The sequence below is a fragment of the Homo sapiens genome, chromosome 16 (genome assembly GCF_000001405.40).
Source record: "Homo sapiens chromosome 16, GRCh38.p14 Primary Assembly".
NCBI lineage: Eukaryota > Metazoa > Chordata > Mammalia > Primates > Hominidae > Homo > Homo sapiens.
The window spans coordinates 74,610,164-74,626,907 of record NC_000016.10 but is presented as its reverse complement, the minus strand read 5'-3'; the positions used below and the strand labels follow the sequence as shown (position 1 = coordinate 74,626,907).

The 16,744-nt window shown below is 46.6% G+C and overlaps 1 protein-coding gene and 1 pseudogene across 15 annotated transcripts in view, besides 1 other annotated feature; both read left to right on the top strand.

Moving 5' to 3' along the window:
* RFWD3 (ring finger and WD repeat domain 3) overlaps positions 1-5,509 on the top strand; it is a 45,479-nt gene extending 39,970 nt beyond the window's left edge. For all 15 annotated transcript variants that reach the window (NM_001370534.1, XM_011523191.4, NM_001370539.1 and 12 more), the window contains 2 exons: positions 354-565; positions 2,837-5,509. In NM_001370534.1, the coding sequence (NP_001357463.1) occupies positions 354-565; positions 2,837-2,980 (356 nt within the window). In that variant the 3' untranslated portion in view covers positions 2,981-5,509. The remainder of the gene's footprint in view (positions 1-353; positions 566-2,836) is intronic.
* Positions 5,648-6,147: an enhancer, noted in NCBI's record as "H3K27ac hESC enhancer chr16:74654659-74655158 (GRCh37/hg19 assembly coordinates)". NCBI's record gives its function as "activates a minimal SCP1, AML or CMV promoter by ChIP-STARR-seq in primed H9 embryonic stem cells {active_cell/tissue: H9 hESC(primed)}" and the evidence as "EXISTENCE:reporter gene assay evidence [ECO:0000049][PMID:30033119]".
* Positions 13,659-14,817, top strand: HSPE1P7 (heat shock protein family E (Hsp10) member 1 pseudogene 7; annotated as a pseudogene).

Here is a 16,744-nt window from a genome sequence, read left to right as displayed (position 1 = left end):
AAAACCTTTTACTGAGAATTCTTGAGAGAGAAATCCCCTAGCAGAGGTCTGGCAGGAGACTGATTTTACTAAAACAGACAACTCACAGAATTGTTTTTCTCTTAAGCAAAAAGCTATTGTAGATAACTTGATTCCTAGCCTATGGTTCTAAATTTCACTGATGCTAGCCTACGGTTCTAAATTTCATTGATGCTGTGATATTGTTCTTTCATTTGTTTTGTAACTGTTCTTGATGGTTTAATGCATTTATGGCTTTTCCATCCAACTAGGTTGTAAGCGTGTGAGGTTTGGGTACTTGGTTAATTTTTTGTGTAGCGTCCCCATGGTGCAGCACTGATTTCTCTGTCCCATAGATAAAAATCACACCACCATACGAAGTGTGCTGATGGAAATGTCCTACCGACTGGATGACACTGGAAATCCAATCTGCTCCTGCCAGCCTGTACATACATTTTTTGGAGGACCTACTTGCAAACTATTGACCAAAAATGCCATTTTCCAAAGCCCAGAGAATGATGGCAACATCCTGGTGTGTACTGGGGATGAAGCAGCAAATTCTGCCCTGGTGAGCCTGTTACTTTTTTACTTTCATATAAAAAGTAGTTTTGCTTAAAATATTGGTAAGGGAAAACATGAACTTTTTTTACAGAAGCTCATATAGCAAAAAAGTGTAAGTTCTGCTCTGTAATCCCACATATCCGCATATGTGTGTATGTGAGATTGCTTGGTTTCCATGAGTCGTGCTTTCCGTATTGCTTTGTAGATCTTGACTGAACTGCTGCAACCTCTATTTCTTGGGTTCAAGTGATTCTCCTGCCTCAGCCTCCTGAGTAGCTGGGATTACAGGCACCCCACCACCATGCCCGACTGATTTTTGTATTTTTAGTAGAGACAGGGTTTCACCGTGTTGGCCAGGCTGGTCTGGAACTCCTGACCTCAAGTGATCTGCCGGCCTTGGCCTCCCAAAGTGCTGGGATTAGAGGCGTGAGCCATTGCACCCAGCTGAGATGTTCTTGAACCTGAGTCTGATTAAGGCCTAGAGTAGCACTGTCCAGTACAGTCACACTAGTCACATGAGCACTTAAAGTGTGCTTAGTGCCAAGGAAGAACTTAATGTTTAATTTTAATCAAGTTAAATATAAACTTGTGTGACTAGAGGCCACCATATTGTATAGTGCCACTCTAGAAGCTAGCGCTAACTTTCATTGACTGGAGTTGCAGGGAATAGAGGAGAACAAGTTTAATGATAGCACAGAAAGCATATACACAAGTCCGGGTTGTGGGCGTTCTATAAGACAGCTGATCTGGCTTCCACAACAAGTCAATGGCAGAAGAAAAAAGGTTGGATTATAGGCGTGAGCCATTGCGCCTGGTCTGTCCTTTTTTTTTTTTTCTTGAGACGGTCTCGCTCTGTTACCCAGGCTGGAGTGCAGAGGCGCAATCTCGGCTCACTGCCACCTCCACCTCCCAGGTTCAAGCAATTCTTGTGCCTCAGCTTCCCAAGTAGCTGGGTGCACACCAACCATACCCGGCTAATTTGTGTATTTTTAGTAGAGACAGGGTTTTGCCATGTTTCCCAGGCTGGTCTCAAACTCCTGGGCTCAAGCAGTCTTCTCACCTCAGCCTCACAGACTACTAAGATTACAAGCATGAGCCACCGTGCTCTCTACCTTTTTTTTTCTGTCCCTCTCTACTTTTTTTTTTTTTTGAGACAGGGTCTTGCTCTGTTGCCCAGGCTGGAGTGCAGAGGTGCAATCTTGGCTTACTACAACCTCCACCTCCTGGGTTCAAGTGATTCTTGTGCTTCAGCCTCCCAAGTAGCTGGAACTATGGGTGTGTGCCACCATGCCCGGCTAGCTCTACTTTTTAATACTTCAAAATATTTTTCATTTCTTTTTGTTTGTTTGTTTGTTTGTTTTTAAGTGACAGTATCTTACTCGGTCCAGGCTGGAGTGCAGTAGTGCAATCATGGTTCACTGTAGCCTCAAACTCCTCAGCTTAAGCAATCCTCCTTCAGCCTCTTGAGTAGCTGGGACTGCGGGCATGCACCACTACACCTGGCTAATTTTTTCTTGTAGAGATTGGATTCTTGCTGTATTGCCCCAGCTGGTCTCAATCTCCTATCCTCAAGCTGTCCTCCCATCTCAGACTCCCAAAGTGTTGGAATTACAGGTGTGAGACACCATGCCTGGCCAATAATAAATTTTTAGAGGCCAGACGCGGTGGCTCACGCCTGTAATCCCAGCACTTTGGGAGGCCAAGGTGGGTGGATCACCTGAGGTCAGGAGTTCTAGACCAGCCTGGCCAACATGGTGAAACCCATCTCTACCAAAAATACAAGAAAATTAGCCGGGCGTGGTGGTGGATGTCTGTAATCCCAGCTACTTGGGAGGCTGAGGCATGAGAATCGCTGGAACCCAGGAGGCAGATGTTGCAGTAAGCCAAGATCGTGCCACTGCACTGCAGCCTGGGTGACAAGAGTGAGACTCCGTCTCAAAGAAAAAAAAGGGTGAGTTCCATGAGGGCAAAGACAGGGACTTTATCTTATTGACCCTTCTGTCCCTAGAAGAGGCTGGCACATTGAATGAATGGAAGCTGGGCTTTATTTCAGGTCCACTTACAGGTAGACTAATTGCTGATTACAGTAGGTGAGGCTGTACCTGAACTATGTCAGGTGTGCTGACTTTGAACAACCTTGCAAAGGTTAGGGACAGCCTGCTTTGCTCTCCAGGTAGTGTTCTCTCTGCAGCCTTTCAGACTTGTTAGATGATGAAGAATGGAAGTCCCTTCGTGTACTGACTGACTCCTGACCCTTCCCTCTGCTTGTGTTCTTTAGCTGTGGGATGCTGCCAGTGGCTCGTTGCTCCAGGACCTACAGACCGATCAGCCTGTGTTGGACATCTGCCCATTTGAGGTGAACCGTAACAGCTACTTGGCTACCTTAACAGAGAAGATGGTCCACATCTATAAGTGGGAGTGACTGTGGTCTCGAAACCTTGAAGGCATGCTGCTGGTTAGATGTTGTTTGCTAGCGCCTAGCAGCCCCAAGCAAGATCCCTGTTTATTGTCTGCAGTCTAGAACATTGGGAATCATGGTTTGTTTGCATTAGTATGATTCTAGGACCCTAGGTCACTGAGACACTACAGATTGTGTATCTGTTATGTCCACTAAAAGAGTAATTGATGGGTACTTTATCTACATTATCCATTTCTTGGGTTTAAAGCCTTCATTAACCATTATTGTATGTTGGAAATTCTTATTTTCTTTATTTTCTGTGTGACTTTCTGGACCTTAGAGAGTGTCCTCTCATCATCTAGGATGTGAGTGGGCATCAAGCATTTTCTGGGGAATATGACATCCCATCTGAGTTGTCCTGTCACTTAAGTATCCTTGAAGGGACTAACCATCGTCTTGGTACTGATTTGATGCAACGTAGATGTAAAAGAGTATTATTCAGTTGAACACAAGAGGGCACTGTAGAACCTTGTGTCCGGTTTATTTCTGACCTTGAAGGCTGACAATCTTTTAGTAACTTGTCTCATCTCCACACAAGTGTGTGATAGCACACCTGGGTGTGCTTTGTGGCAATAACACTTGTGTTCCAGGTGTGAAGTGCTGGGACATTGGCAGGCCCAGTGATGGAAGCAGCTAGTGAACGATTCCCTTTGCTAATGCCTAGTGCATTAAGTTCATTGCTTTGCGAAAGGTAAGGAAAGAGGCCAGTTGTTTGAGCGGTGGGGAAGATTTTGTTTTTTCTAGCCAGCTTAGGATCTCAGGATTGGTTTTATCCAAGCTAGTGCTTTGAAGAACACTATCTCTTGCCAGGAAAAGATGAGTGATAGGTCAAAGCTTTTACTTGAGTCTCCCCTAGTGTCAGAGATCAGGAGAAAAGACATAAGAGAATTTACAAAAGCTATTCAGACTGCTATTGAAAACATGAGAAGAACTTGTCTCCCATTTTGAGAGTTCCTATCTAAATAAAGCCAATTCCTCAGACTGAGGGGCTGTTCTTAAGTGTTCTTTATACATTCCAGTTATCCAGTTAAAGCCTTCCCCATGTGAAGCTGATGTTTGATTCCAGTTTCCTTTGATTTGCCTCCCTAACCTTTTCTAGGGCTCAGTTTGTATTTCTTTGCCTTGCCTCAGACTACTTTGCCAACCCACTTCCACAACAGAATATGCTTCAAGATGTGGGCAGGTCAGTGTCCTGTTCATGGGAGAAAATGGCTTAACAGTCTGATTTTCTCAAATGATTATTGAAGAGTTGTTATCGTTTTTATTATAAAACACTTCTGACCTGTCAATTCAAGAGCTGTTTCTAGGATCTTTCTCTCCGGCAAGGGGTTGTTGCACTAGATTTCCCCAGAGTTCCAAGTTCTAGTTGTGCCTTTTAATGACCCTTTAATATTTTAGGACATAATTTTTTCCTTTTTTAAATTTTTTTGTAGAAATAGATGTTTCACTACGTTGTCCAGGCTGGTCTTGGACTCCTGGCCTCAAGCAATCCTCCCACCTCAGCCTCCTAAAGTGCCAAAATTATAGGCGTGAGCCACTGCACCCGGCCCCTATTTGAAGACGTCTTTTGTAAAAGCTAGCTTCTAGAACCTGAGAAAAGCTCTTTTCTCAGAGGAGATACTCCTTTTGATATGTTAATGATTAAGAGTGGTTGCCCAGGCCTAGTTTCAGTGGCAGAATAGGATTGGAATTAAAAAGCAGAACTCATCTGGCTTCAGCAGATTGCCACCAAGAGGATACAGGTGGTCAGGTCCTGGCTGGCTTTGTCTTTGGGCCTGGGCAGGCTTAGGATTTGACTTTCTTTGAAGTACCTGATGCTGATTGATTCCACTAATAGTAGGAAGCAAGAGACTTAACTATGAGGGACGTTATGTGAATCTTAAGTCTTACCAGTCCTTGCATTAGTACATTAAATTTGGATGTTTTGGAAGCAAATTCATACGATCGTGAGTGATTTCTCCAAAGAAAAAAAGCCTTGTCCAGCCTGACCAACATGGTGAAACCCCATCTCTACTAAAAATACAAAAATTAACTGGGTGCAGTGGTGCGCATGCCTGTAGTCCCAGCTACTTGGGAGGCTGAGGCAGGAGAATTGCTTGAACCCTGGGAGGCAGAGGTTGCAGTGAGTCGAGATCGCGCCACTGCACTCCAGCCTCGGTGACAGAGCAAGACTCCATCTCAAAAAAAACAAACAAACAAAAAAAAACCCTGATGCCATTCCCAGTCCCCGTTGTAGGACATCACATTTATAAATCCAGGCTTTAGTCTTCTGGGCTCCACCAGTCTCTGCCCCACCATATTCCTTTGTCACTACCTCTAAGTTTTTTTCCCCACTTGAGGATTTGGAGTTAAACGAACTCAAAATGTCTTGTCATTGTATGTATTCTTGCCCCTGCTTTGAAAACAGGGCCATGGGAACTCTGTTTATGCCCTGTTTTAATGTTTCTGTTTTATGTTTTACTGTTAATATGAAAATAAAGAATTTGCTATGTATAATGGCTCCTAGTGCCTTTTGTCTCTTTCACTTCTAGAGGCAGGAACATGTCTGCCTCTTGGGAGAGGGATATAATCCCAACCTGGTAGATTTCTCGGGTTTGTTCGTTTGTTTGTTTTTTGAGACGGAATCTTGCTCTGTAGCCCTAGCTGGAGTGCAGTGGCGCCATCTTGGCTCACTGCAAACTCCGCCTCCTAGGTTCAAGAGATTCTCCTGTCTCAGCCTCCTGAGTAGCTGAGATTACAGGTGTGCGCCATCATGCTCGGCTAATTTTTGTATTTTTAGTAGAGACGGGTTTCAGCATGTTGGTCAGGCTGGTCTCAAACTTCTGACCTTGTGATCTGCCTGCTTCAGCCTCCCAAAGTGCTGGGATTACAGGCGTGAGCTACCGCACCCGGCCTTTTTTTTTTTTTTTTTTTTTAACTGAATCTCACTCTGTTGTCCCAGGCTGGAGTGCACTGGTTCAATCTCAGCTCACTGCAACCTCTGCCTCCCGGGTTCAAGCGATTCCCCTGCCTCATTCCTCTCCAGTACCTGGGAGTTACAGGCGCCTGCAACCATGCCTGGCTTATTTGTCTATTTTTAGTAGAGACGGGGTTTTACCATGTTGGCCAGGCTGGTCTCCAACTCCTGACCTCAAGTGATTTGTCCATCTTGACAGCCTCCCAAAGTGCTGGGATTACAGGCATGAGCCACCTCACCCAGCCATAGATTTTCTCTTTTTCACACAAATGAAGTGGTTGAGGCTTTAGCTTGCGGTTCTGTTTTGCTGTTGCCAGTGGAAAGCGATGTGTTTGCCTCTTAAGAACCCTGTGCCCTGGCCGTGTGGCTCACGCCTGTAATCCCAGCACTTTGGGAGGCCAAGGTGGGCAGATCACCTGAGGTCAGAAGTTCAAGGTCAGTCTGGCCAACAAGGTGAAACCTCATCTCTACTAAATGATATAAAAATTAGCTGGTCGTAGTGGCGGACACCTGTTACTCAGGGGGCTGAGGCAGGGGAATTGCTTGAACCCGCGAGGCAGAGGTTGCAGTTAGCTGAGATTGCACCACTGTACTCCAGCCTGGGTGACAGAGTGAGACTCCGTCTCAAAAAAAAAAAAAAAAAATGTCCTGGTCTTATGTCTATTTACTCTCAGATCTAGGGATCTACATTTCCCAGACTTGTCTGCTGGCTTCCTGCTAGTTTCTTTGAATCCAGGAGACTTTAAAGTGGGAGGAAGAGAGAGGAGGAGAGGACTTTTGTTCCCTTTATTTCTTTTAGTCATTGGTGGCACTTCTGACCGTGGCAGCAGCAATGGGCAAGTATGGGTTTCAGGGTTCCTGCTCAGTACAGTTCTGGCCACCTGCCTCAGTTTCTTTGTTCTGTTTGAGTTCAAGAATCTTCGTTGCCATAAATCATGGTGCTCTGGAATTAGGCTGGAAAGGCTGAAAATGTTTTCCAGTTTCCAGCTGAACAGCAAATGGAGTATACTGGATTCCAGGAGAACTGAATCCATAGGTATAAGCTTACTAACTTCATGGAGCCTGGTGCTCTAAGGGAAAATGACAGAGGTCCTAGGATAGAAGTGAACCCCAAATTACAAAACCCAACACCATTGTTTTTGTTTTTCACAGTACCCTTTTTTTGTTTTCCGTGTCAGTGATTGACTATAAGTGAAATTCTGAAAAAAAATTTTTTTAAGAAACGGGGTCTCACTGTCACCCAGGCTAGAGTGCAGTGGCACTATCCTATCTCGACTGCATCCTCAAACTTCTGGGCTCAGGTAATCCTGTCTCCTCAACCTCCTAAGTAACTGGGACTGTAGTTGTGGACCACTGTGCCCAGCCAATTTTTTTTTTTTTTTGCTTTTTTTTTCTTGGTAGAGACGGGGGTCTTGCTTTGTTGCCCAACTGGATTCAAACTTCTAGTTCAAGCAGTCCTCCCGCCTCAGCCTCCCAAAGCATTGGGATTGCAGGCATGAGCCACCATGTCTGGCCAAAATTCTAAAAATAGACATTTGTTTGTCCTTGTTCTTAGTCAACTTATGTTTGTTGGTAACACTCTCTGTTTTATCTCTTTATGGTTTACTAATATATTAAGTAACATCTTAGTAAATATATATTACTAATAAGTAATTCTTAATGTTATGGAATACATATTATTATTCTATCTTACGGGGGAAGAAACAGGTTAAAAATACTAATAAAGCTTGGGTGCAGTGGCTCATGCCTGTAATCCCAGCACTTTGGGAGGCCAAAGAGGATGGATCACCTGAGGTCAGGAGTTCGAGACCAGCATGGCTAACATGGTGAAACCCTGTCTCTACTAAAAATACAAAAATGATCCAGGCATGGTGGCGTAAACCTGTAATCCCAGCTTCTTTTTTTTTTTTTTTAGACGGAGTCTTGCTCTGTCTCCCAGGCTCGAGTGCAGTGGCACGATCTCAGCTCACTGCAAGCTCTGCCTCCCGGCTTCACGCCATTCTCCTGCCTCAGCCTCTTGAGTAACTGGGACTACAGGCGCCTGCCACCACACTCGGCTAATTTTTTTGTATTTTTAGTAGAGATGGGGTTTCACCGTGTTAGCCAGGATGGTCTCGATCTCCTGACCTCGTGATCTGCCCGCCTTGGCCTCCCAAGGTGCTGGGATTACAGGCGTGAGCCACCACACCCAGCCCCAGCTTCTTCTTGAACCTGGGAGGTGGAGGTTGCAGTGAGCCAAGATCGCGCCACTGCACTCCAGCCTGCGCAACGGGAGCAAGACTTCACCTCAAAAAAAAAAAAAAGAAAAAATCCTAATAAAGGAAAATGACAGATGGTATTTAATTAAATTTTATATGTCCTCGTCTTCCCAGTCTATACTTTGTGTTACCAACAGCAAAGCAGGAGTTGGAGAGCCTGGGTGAAAGCTCATTTTCACTCTTCATAGCTCTGTCTCCAGAACACCCTAGGCTAAGCCCCCACAAATTATTTCTTCTGCATTGAAAATTACAACAAAGCAGACAGTCATACTCATGATGTGGCACTACAGTCTTCAAGTAGTTTTCTGGGTGCTGAGGCTGGGAACCCCACTGTCCAATAGAAGAAAAAACGGGTTCATAGAAGAGGCTATGACACATGGGCTAGAACTGCCCAGCAGTGGTCATCGGAAAGGTCAGCTGAAGAGAGGAGGAAGGTGGAGGAGCTGTTGGGCTTGCTCTAGAAAGCAGGGTGCAGGGCCAGCTGAATAAGGAGTCTACTGTCGAGATGTGAGGAGTGCCATGAACCCACGCTGGTCCCTGAGGAGTAATAACAGGTTTATCCAGTTACAGACACCCAGCAGAAAGGCTTCCTTAGAGGCTGAACATAGGTACCAACTTAAATATCTGGATTTGGATAAAGGGAGAGTTGAAGGCTGAGGGGGAAACAAAGTTCAGGACATCACTGAACAGATGCTTGGGTTAAAAAAAAAAAAAAAATGGCCGGGCACGATGGCTCACGTCTGTAATCCCAGCACTTTGGGAGGTCAAGGCAGGTGGATCACGAGGTCAGGAGTTCAAAACCAGCGCGGCCAACATGGTGAAACCTCGTCTCTACTAAAAATACAAAAAATTAGCCAGGCGTGGTGGCAGGCACCTGTAATCCCAGCTACTTGGGAGGCTGAGGCAGGAGAATTGCTTGAACCTGGGAGGCAGAGGTTGCAGTGACCCTAGACTGTACCACTGCCCTCCAGCCTGGGCAACAGAGCAAGACTGTCTCAAAAAAAGAAAACAAAAACAAAAAACTGGCACTTTTGTTACCTAAGCCAGCTCTGTGTGAGCTGCCAACAGTTGGATAAGCTGCTGGTTAATGAAAGTTGTAAGTGGGAAGTTGGCAGGCCACTTATTTCCTGGAATAAAGAAGGGGATGCCTGCCCTGGATAAATGGTTATGCTCTGCCTTCAAACTCCAATGCCTGTAGACCCTCCCATTTAAGAGAAATGTCACCAGAGTTAAAAAGAGTGCCTCCAGGAGGGTCCAGGGGAATTCCCAGGCTTGAGCTATGGAGGGGGTGTTGAGTGATGATGTGGCTTCCTCCTTTCTCATAAGCCTGGTACAAAAAATTGCTGGTTAGATTGTGCAGGAACATATGGGAAACAATGAGGGCCTAACATGAGAAAGGGTGACAGGGTAGGGGGGAAGATGGGAAATTGCCACGGAATCTAAGCTCAGTGAAGTTCTGACACCTCACTTGTACCCCAGTGGAAGCTCCAGAGTTAGCGATGACCCCAGTTCCTCTCTTGAAGATGATGTCCTGACTTGAGATAGAGAGATGGTATTTCACTAGGCAAACAGTATGCTACCCCCTCAGCTCACAGGAGTCACTTGCCCTTGAGTCAAGGAAGTAAACGAAATATCAAATGCTAACATTTGTTTCTCTGATTGAGACCCTCTCCAAAAGACATGATATTCCTGCAAACTGGCAAATTGCCATAAAGGAAGTAATATTCAAACTACAGTCCGGTCTCTACTGTCTACAGATCAGAATGCTGGGTGAGTTTTTCTTCTCCAGGAGTCTTAGATTCTCGTCTAGACAGTCACTGAGGTTGCTGTGACAGACAAGTTCAGGTCTCTTAGCTGGATAATGTGGGGGTGTCTAGAAATATGTTACTTGTTACTCTTTTTTTTTTTTTTTAATTGAAATGGGGTCTCACTCTGTCACCCAGGCTGGAGTGCAGTGGTGTAATCTCGGCTTGCTGTAACCTCTGCCTCCCAGGCTCAAGTGATCCTCCCACTTCAGCCTCCCAAGTAGCTGTGACTACAGGTATACACCACCATGCCCAGCTAATTTTTTTATATTTTTAGTAGGGACGGGGTTTCGCCATGTTGGCCAGGGTGGTCTCAAATTCCTGGCCTCAAGTGATCCACTGCCTCAGCCTCCCAAAGTGCTGGAATTACAGGCATGAGCCACCACGCCTGGCCTGTTATTTCATTTTTAATCCCTTAAGTCTTGTCAATATGAAGTCACCAATGTCCTAGCTTAGTAGTCTAAACAATTTCTTTTTCTTCCCTGAGACTGAGTCTCACTTTGTCACCCAGGCTGGAGTGCAGTGGCATGATCTTGGCTCACTGCAACCTCTGCCTCCCAGGTTCAAGTGATTCTTCTGCCTCAGCCTCCCGAGTAGCTGGGATTACAGGCGCATGCCATCGCACCTGGCTAATTTTTTTTGTTTTTTTTTTTAGATGGAGTCTCACTCCTGCCAGGCTGGAGTGCAGTGGCGCGATCTTGGCTCACTGCAACCTCCGACTCCTGGGTTCAAGCGATTCTTGTACCTCAGCCTCCCAATTAGCTGGGATTACAGGCGCCTGCCACCACGCCCAGCTAATTTTTGTATTTTTAGTAGAGACAGGGTTTCACCATGTTAGCCAGGATGGTCTCGATTTCCTGACCTCATGATCTGCCCCGCTTAGCCTCCCAAAGTGCTGGAATTACAGGCATGAGCCACTGCACCCGGCTAATTTTTGTATTTTTAGTAGAGACTGGGCTTTACCATGTCAGCCAGGCCAGTCTTCACCTCCTGACCTCAGGTGATCTGCTCGCCTTGGCCTCCCAAAGTGCTGGGATTACAGGCGTGAGCCACCACGCCCAGCCATGCTATGCCTTTTATATGAAAGAGATTCTCTAGTTAAAGAAGTTACTCAGATGTGGTGACCTTGAAAATGAGCCTCTCAGATCTCCAGCTGTGGGGAACATGATTGACCTCTGTTTGATCTGCTGAGCACTGAAATCTACAACTGCATTCATCCCAAGGATCCTCCTAGTCTTGACTAAGAGTGATAGGGCTACTGACGCAGGCCCATTTCTGGAAGACTCAGTGACAGGTAACTTTTGCATGAGGACTATCCTATGGCCTTGGCCAACTTTCTTTTTTTTTTTTTTTTTTTGGAGACGGAGTTTTGGTCTTATTGCCCAGGCTGGAGATCTTGGCTCACTGCAACCTCCGCCTTCTGGGTTCAAGTGATTCTCCTGCCTCAGCCTCCCGAGTAGCTGGGAATACAGGTATGCACCACCATGCCCGGATAATTTTTTGTGTGTTTTTAGTAGAGACGGGGTTTCTCCATGTTGGTCAGGCTGGTCTCGAACTCTCGACCTCAGGTGATCTGCCTGCCTTGGCCTCCCAAAGTGCTGGGATTACAGGCGTCAGCCACCGTGCCGGACCTTGGCTGACTTTCTTAGAAATGAATTTCAGTTTAAGTTGAGTCTTAGATGTTTCCACCGAATCCTCCCGTCCTTCCTTCCCTCCCTCTGTACTTCACACAGTGTTGGACCAGCATCATGGTCACATGGCTCTCTCAGCCACCTCATTTTTCCTACAACTGTTGCCCCTAATAAATTTCTTGCATAGGTAATCCCCTTTTGTTGTCTGCTTCCTGGCAGACCTGGACTCACACAAGTAGTGCCAGGAGTGTTCCAAGAAAACAGGTGGTAAGACGGGGCTGACTAGGGCCCCAGAATAATAAAGACCCGGTGGCAATGTTTAAGTGCCAGAAGCCAGGAGACCACAATTACCACCATTACCAGCAAGATCAAAGGTGATGACCAAGGGCCAGATGCGGTGGCTCATACCTATAATTCTAGCACTTTGGGAGGCCGAGGCAGGAGGATCACTTGAGGTCAGGAGTTCAAGACCAGCCTGGCCAACATGGTAAAACCCTGTCTCTACTAAAAACACAAAAATTAGCTGGGCGTGGTGGCACACGCCTGTAGTCCCAGCTATTCGAGAGGCTGAGGCCGGAGAATCTCTTGAACCCGGGAGGCAGAGGTTGCAGTGAGCCGAGATTGTGCCACTGCACTCCAGCCTGGGTGACAGAGCAAGACTCCATCTCAAAAAATAATAAGAAAATAGCGACCAAGGGGTCTTGACCAGCGGGGAGTATAGAGATGGTTAATAAAGGATAACATCACCCAAGACCAGCAAGGGAACTATTCAACATCTATAGCCAATAAGGTCCACAAGAATGGAGGAACAGGAGGCTAAGGGTGGTCACCCCCAATAAGTCATGCTCCTTTGCCCAGCTTCTAGAGCTGAGGCTTTTTTTTTTGAGATGGAGTCTCACTCGGTCACCCAGGCTAGAGTGCAGAGGTGTGATCTTGGCTCACTGCAACCTCCACTTCCCAAGTTCAAGCAATTCTCCTGCGTCACCCTCCTGAGTAGCTAGTACTACAGGCATGTGCCACCACACCCAGCTAATTTTCGTATTTTTAGTAGAGACGGGGCTTCACCATGTTGGCCAGGATGGTCTTAATCTCTTGACCTCATGATCCGCCCACCTCAGCCTCCCAAAGTGCTGGGATTACAGGTGTGAGCCACTGCTCCCTGCCCAATCTGAGCCAATTTTCAGATCCAGAATCCATTGATGAAAGTGGTGGCCAGGAGCCTAACACCAAAGACCCTACAACACCATGGCAGCCGTACCATGGCACAAGGGCCCTCAGGCCTTCCCCAGAGGAACTTGTGGCTACTTACTTGGGTGACTGTACATTGGCAAAAGGGAAGTAACCGAACATTTTCAAGACTATCGGACACAGACTTCAAGGTGAAATCAATCATTAGAGGCCAAAAACATCATTATAGCCCCCTGGCCTGTAGGGGCCAGGTAATAAATGGACTCCTGCCTAAAGTGGTAAGGTATGGCTCTCAGCTCACTGGATGTGTGGACCCACCCAGAGATTTACATAGTCCCCAAATGTATAACTGGAAATGACCTGGAATAACCCCACATTGTATTTCTGGCCTGTGGGGCAGGGACTATCATGGGCAGGAAAGGCCAGATGTAAATCTGTGAAATTGCTCCCTACCCGTGGCTAAGATTGTACGTTAAAAACAATGTTCCAAGGCCAGGCTCAGTGGCTGTAATCCCAGCACTTTGGGAGGCCAAAGTGGGCAGATCACCTGACGTCAGAAGTCCAAGACCAGCCTGGCCAACATGGTGAAACCCCCGTCTCTACTAAAAATACAAAAATTAGCTGGGCGTGGTGGCAGGCTCCTGTAATCCCAGCTACTCAGGAGGCTGAGGCAGGAGAATCGCTTGAACCCGGGTGGCAGAGGTTGCAGTGAGCCGAGATCGCGCCATCGCACTCCAGCCTGGGGAACAAGAGCGAGACTTCATCTCAAAAAAAAAAAACAAAAAAAACAAAAACAGTGTTCCGAGAGTACAAGTCTGAGGTGGAGGGAGTCATGGCAGGACAGGCGTTTAGAAAGTTTCTTCCACTCGGCCAGGTGCTGTGGCTCACGCCTGTAATCCCAGCACTTTGGGAGGCAGAGGCGGGCGGATCACAAGGTCAGGATATCGAGACCATCCTGGCTAACACGGTGAAACCCTGTCTCTACTAAAAATACAAAAAATTAGCCAGGCGTGGCAGCGTGTGCCTGTAGTCCCAGCTACTCGGGAGGCTGAGGCAGGAGGATGGCGTGAACCCGGGAGGTGGAGCTTGCAGTGAGCCGAGATCGCAGGACTGCACTCCAGCCTGGGCGACAGAGCGAGACTCTGTCTCAAAAAAAATAAATAAATAAAAAGAAAGTTTCTTCCACTCTTTGAGCGAGTACTGGTTGAAAGGAGCGCTGCTGAAACTGTAACCAGAGGAGGCATTATGCTTCCAGAAAAATCTCAAGGAAAAGTATTGCAAGCAATAGTAGTCGCTGTTGGATCGGGTTCTAAAGGAAAAGGTGGAGAGATTCAACCAGTTAGCATGAAAGTTGGAGATAAAGTTCTTCTCCCAGAACATGGAGGCACCAAAGTAATTCTAGATGACAAGGATTATTTCCTATTTAGAGATGGTGACATTCTTGGAAAGTATGTAGACTGAAATAAGACACTATTGAAAATGGCAGCAACATGAAGCTGCCCATTCCACTGAAGTTCTGAAATCTTTCTCAAAGTGCTGGGATTGCAGGCGTGAGTCACCGCACCCAGCTGAAATCTTTCATCATGTAAATAATTTCCATCTCTCTCTCTTTTTTCTTTTTCTTTTTTTTTTTTTGTGACAGAGTCTCGCTCTGTCGCCCAGGCTGGAGTGCAGTGGCGCAATCTCGGCTCACTGCAGTCTCCACCTCCCGGGTTCACGCCGTTCTCCGTTCTGCCTCAGCCTCCCAAGTAGCTGGGACCACAGGTGCCTGCCACCACGCCCAGCTAATTTTTTGTATTTTTAGTAGAGACAGGGTTTCACCATGTTAGCCAGGATGGCCTCGATCTGCTGACCTCGTGATCCACCCACCTCGGCCTCCCAAAGTGCTGGGATTACAGGCGTAAGCCACCGCACCTGGCCTCCATATCTCTCTTTTATAATAAGCTCATGATAACTAATCACAAAAAAAAAATGTTCCATTGGGAGGATGGGGATTGGTGAAGATTAGAGCCACCATTACAGACCTAAAGAATGCAAATGTGGTTCTGAAAGATGGTGGAGAGTGAAAACTTTTCCAAACTAGTGGAAATGCTGGCTGTGCTCTTAGTCATTCCACTTTGTATGTAAGATGAGAATATATACAGATTCCTGGACAAAGTCCAATGGCCTGGCCTGGAGTAGAGGCATGTGGATGAACGTGTGGGGGTGAGTACAATATATAAAGATTTTTGTATCTCTTAATAATGCCCTCCAGAAAGCCTCCACCATAGAAGAGGCACTGAGCAACCAAGTAAGCAAAATGACACAGCCAATTCACATGAGCTAGCCTCTAGCTCCTCCTGACCCGACATTCTGGGCACGTGAACAGAGCAGCCATAGCAGCAGACATGCAGGTTCCATGTGAGCTCAGTAGCATGGACTCCCACTCACCAAGGTACATCCAGCTACTGCTGCCCCTGAATGTCCAACTTGTCAGCAACAGAGAGCAACACTGAGTCTTTTTTTTTTGGAGACAGAGTCTTGCTCTGTCGCCAGACTGGAGTGCCCTGGCGCAATCTCGGCTCACTGCAACCTCTGCCTCCTGGGTTCAAGCGATTCTCCTGCCTCAGCCTCCTGAGTAGCTGGGATTACAGGCGCACGCCACCACGCCCAGCTAATTTTTGTATTTTTAGTAGAGACGGGGTTTCACCGTGTTGGCCAGGATGGTCTCGATCTCTTGACCTTGTCATCTGCCCGCCTTGGCCTCCCAAAGGGCTGGGATTACAGGCGTGAGCCACTGCGCCCACCCTGCAACACTGAGTCTTTGATAGGCACTGTTTTTTTTTTTTTTTTTAGACCGAGTCTCGCTCTGTTGCCCAGGCTGGAGTGCAGCGGCGTGATCTCTGCTCGGAGCTGCAACCTCCACCTCCTGGGTTCAAGAAGTTCTCCTGCCTCAGCCTCCGAGTAGCTGGGATTACATCCATGAGCCACTGCGCCTGACCCCCTTTTTTTTTAAATTTTTTAATTTTTTTATTTTTCTGAGACAGGATCTCACTCTGTCACCCAGGCTGGAGTGCAGTGGCATAATCTCAGCTCACTGCAACCTCCACTTGCCGCTTTCAAGTGATCTTCCCGCGTAAGCCTCCTGAGTAACTGGGACTATAGGTTGCACCATTATGCCCAGCCAATTTTTGTATTTTTAGTAAAGGCCTGACCTCAGGTGATCCACCCGCCTCGGCCTCCCAAAGTGCTGGGATTACAGGTAGGTGTGAGCCACCATGCCTAGCAGGCCTTCATTTTGAATGCTTATTCCCACCTCCTTAGAATCTTGAACTAGTTATTAATGTCTGATTTTGGAACACTTAGAGTCCTCTTTTCATGGTTGCACTTGGGAGGCCGAGGCAGGCAATCACCTGAAGTCAGGAGTTCGAGACTAGCCTGGTCAACATGGTGAAATCTCTCTCTACTAAAAATACAAAAACTAGCTGGGCGTGGTGGCAGGCGCCTGTAATCCTAGTTACTTGGGGAGGCTGAGGCAGGAGAATCACTTGAACCCGGGAGGCAGAGGTTGCAGAGCTGAGATCATGCCATTGCACAGCAGCCTGGGCAACAAGAGTGAAACACTCCATCTCAAATAATAATAATAATAATAATAATAATAATAATAATAATAATAATAAAAGAACAAATTCTCAACAGCCCAGGTGCAGGGCTGACACCTGTAATCCCAGCACTTTGGGAAGCTGAGGTGGAAGGATCACTTGAGCTTGGGAGGCTGAGGATGCAGTGAACATGATCATGCCATTATATTGTAGTCTGGGTGACAGAACAAGACCCTGTCTCAAAAACAAAAAAAAATACTAAAATTACAAAAAAAAAATAATTAGCTGGGCGTGGTGGCACACACCGGT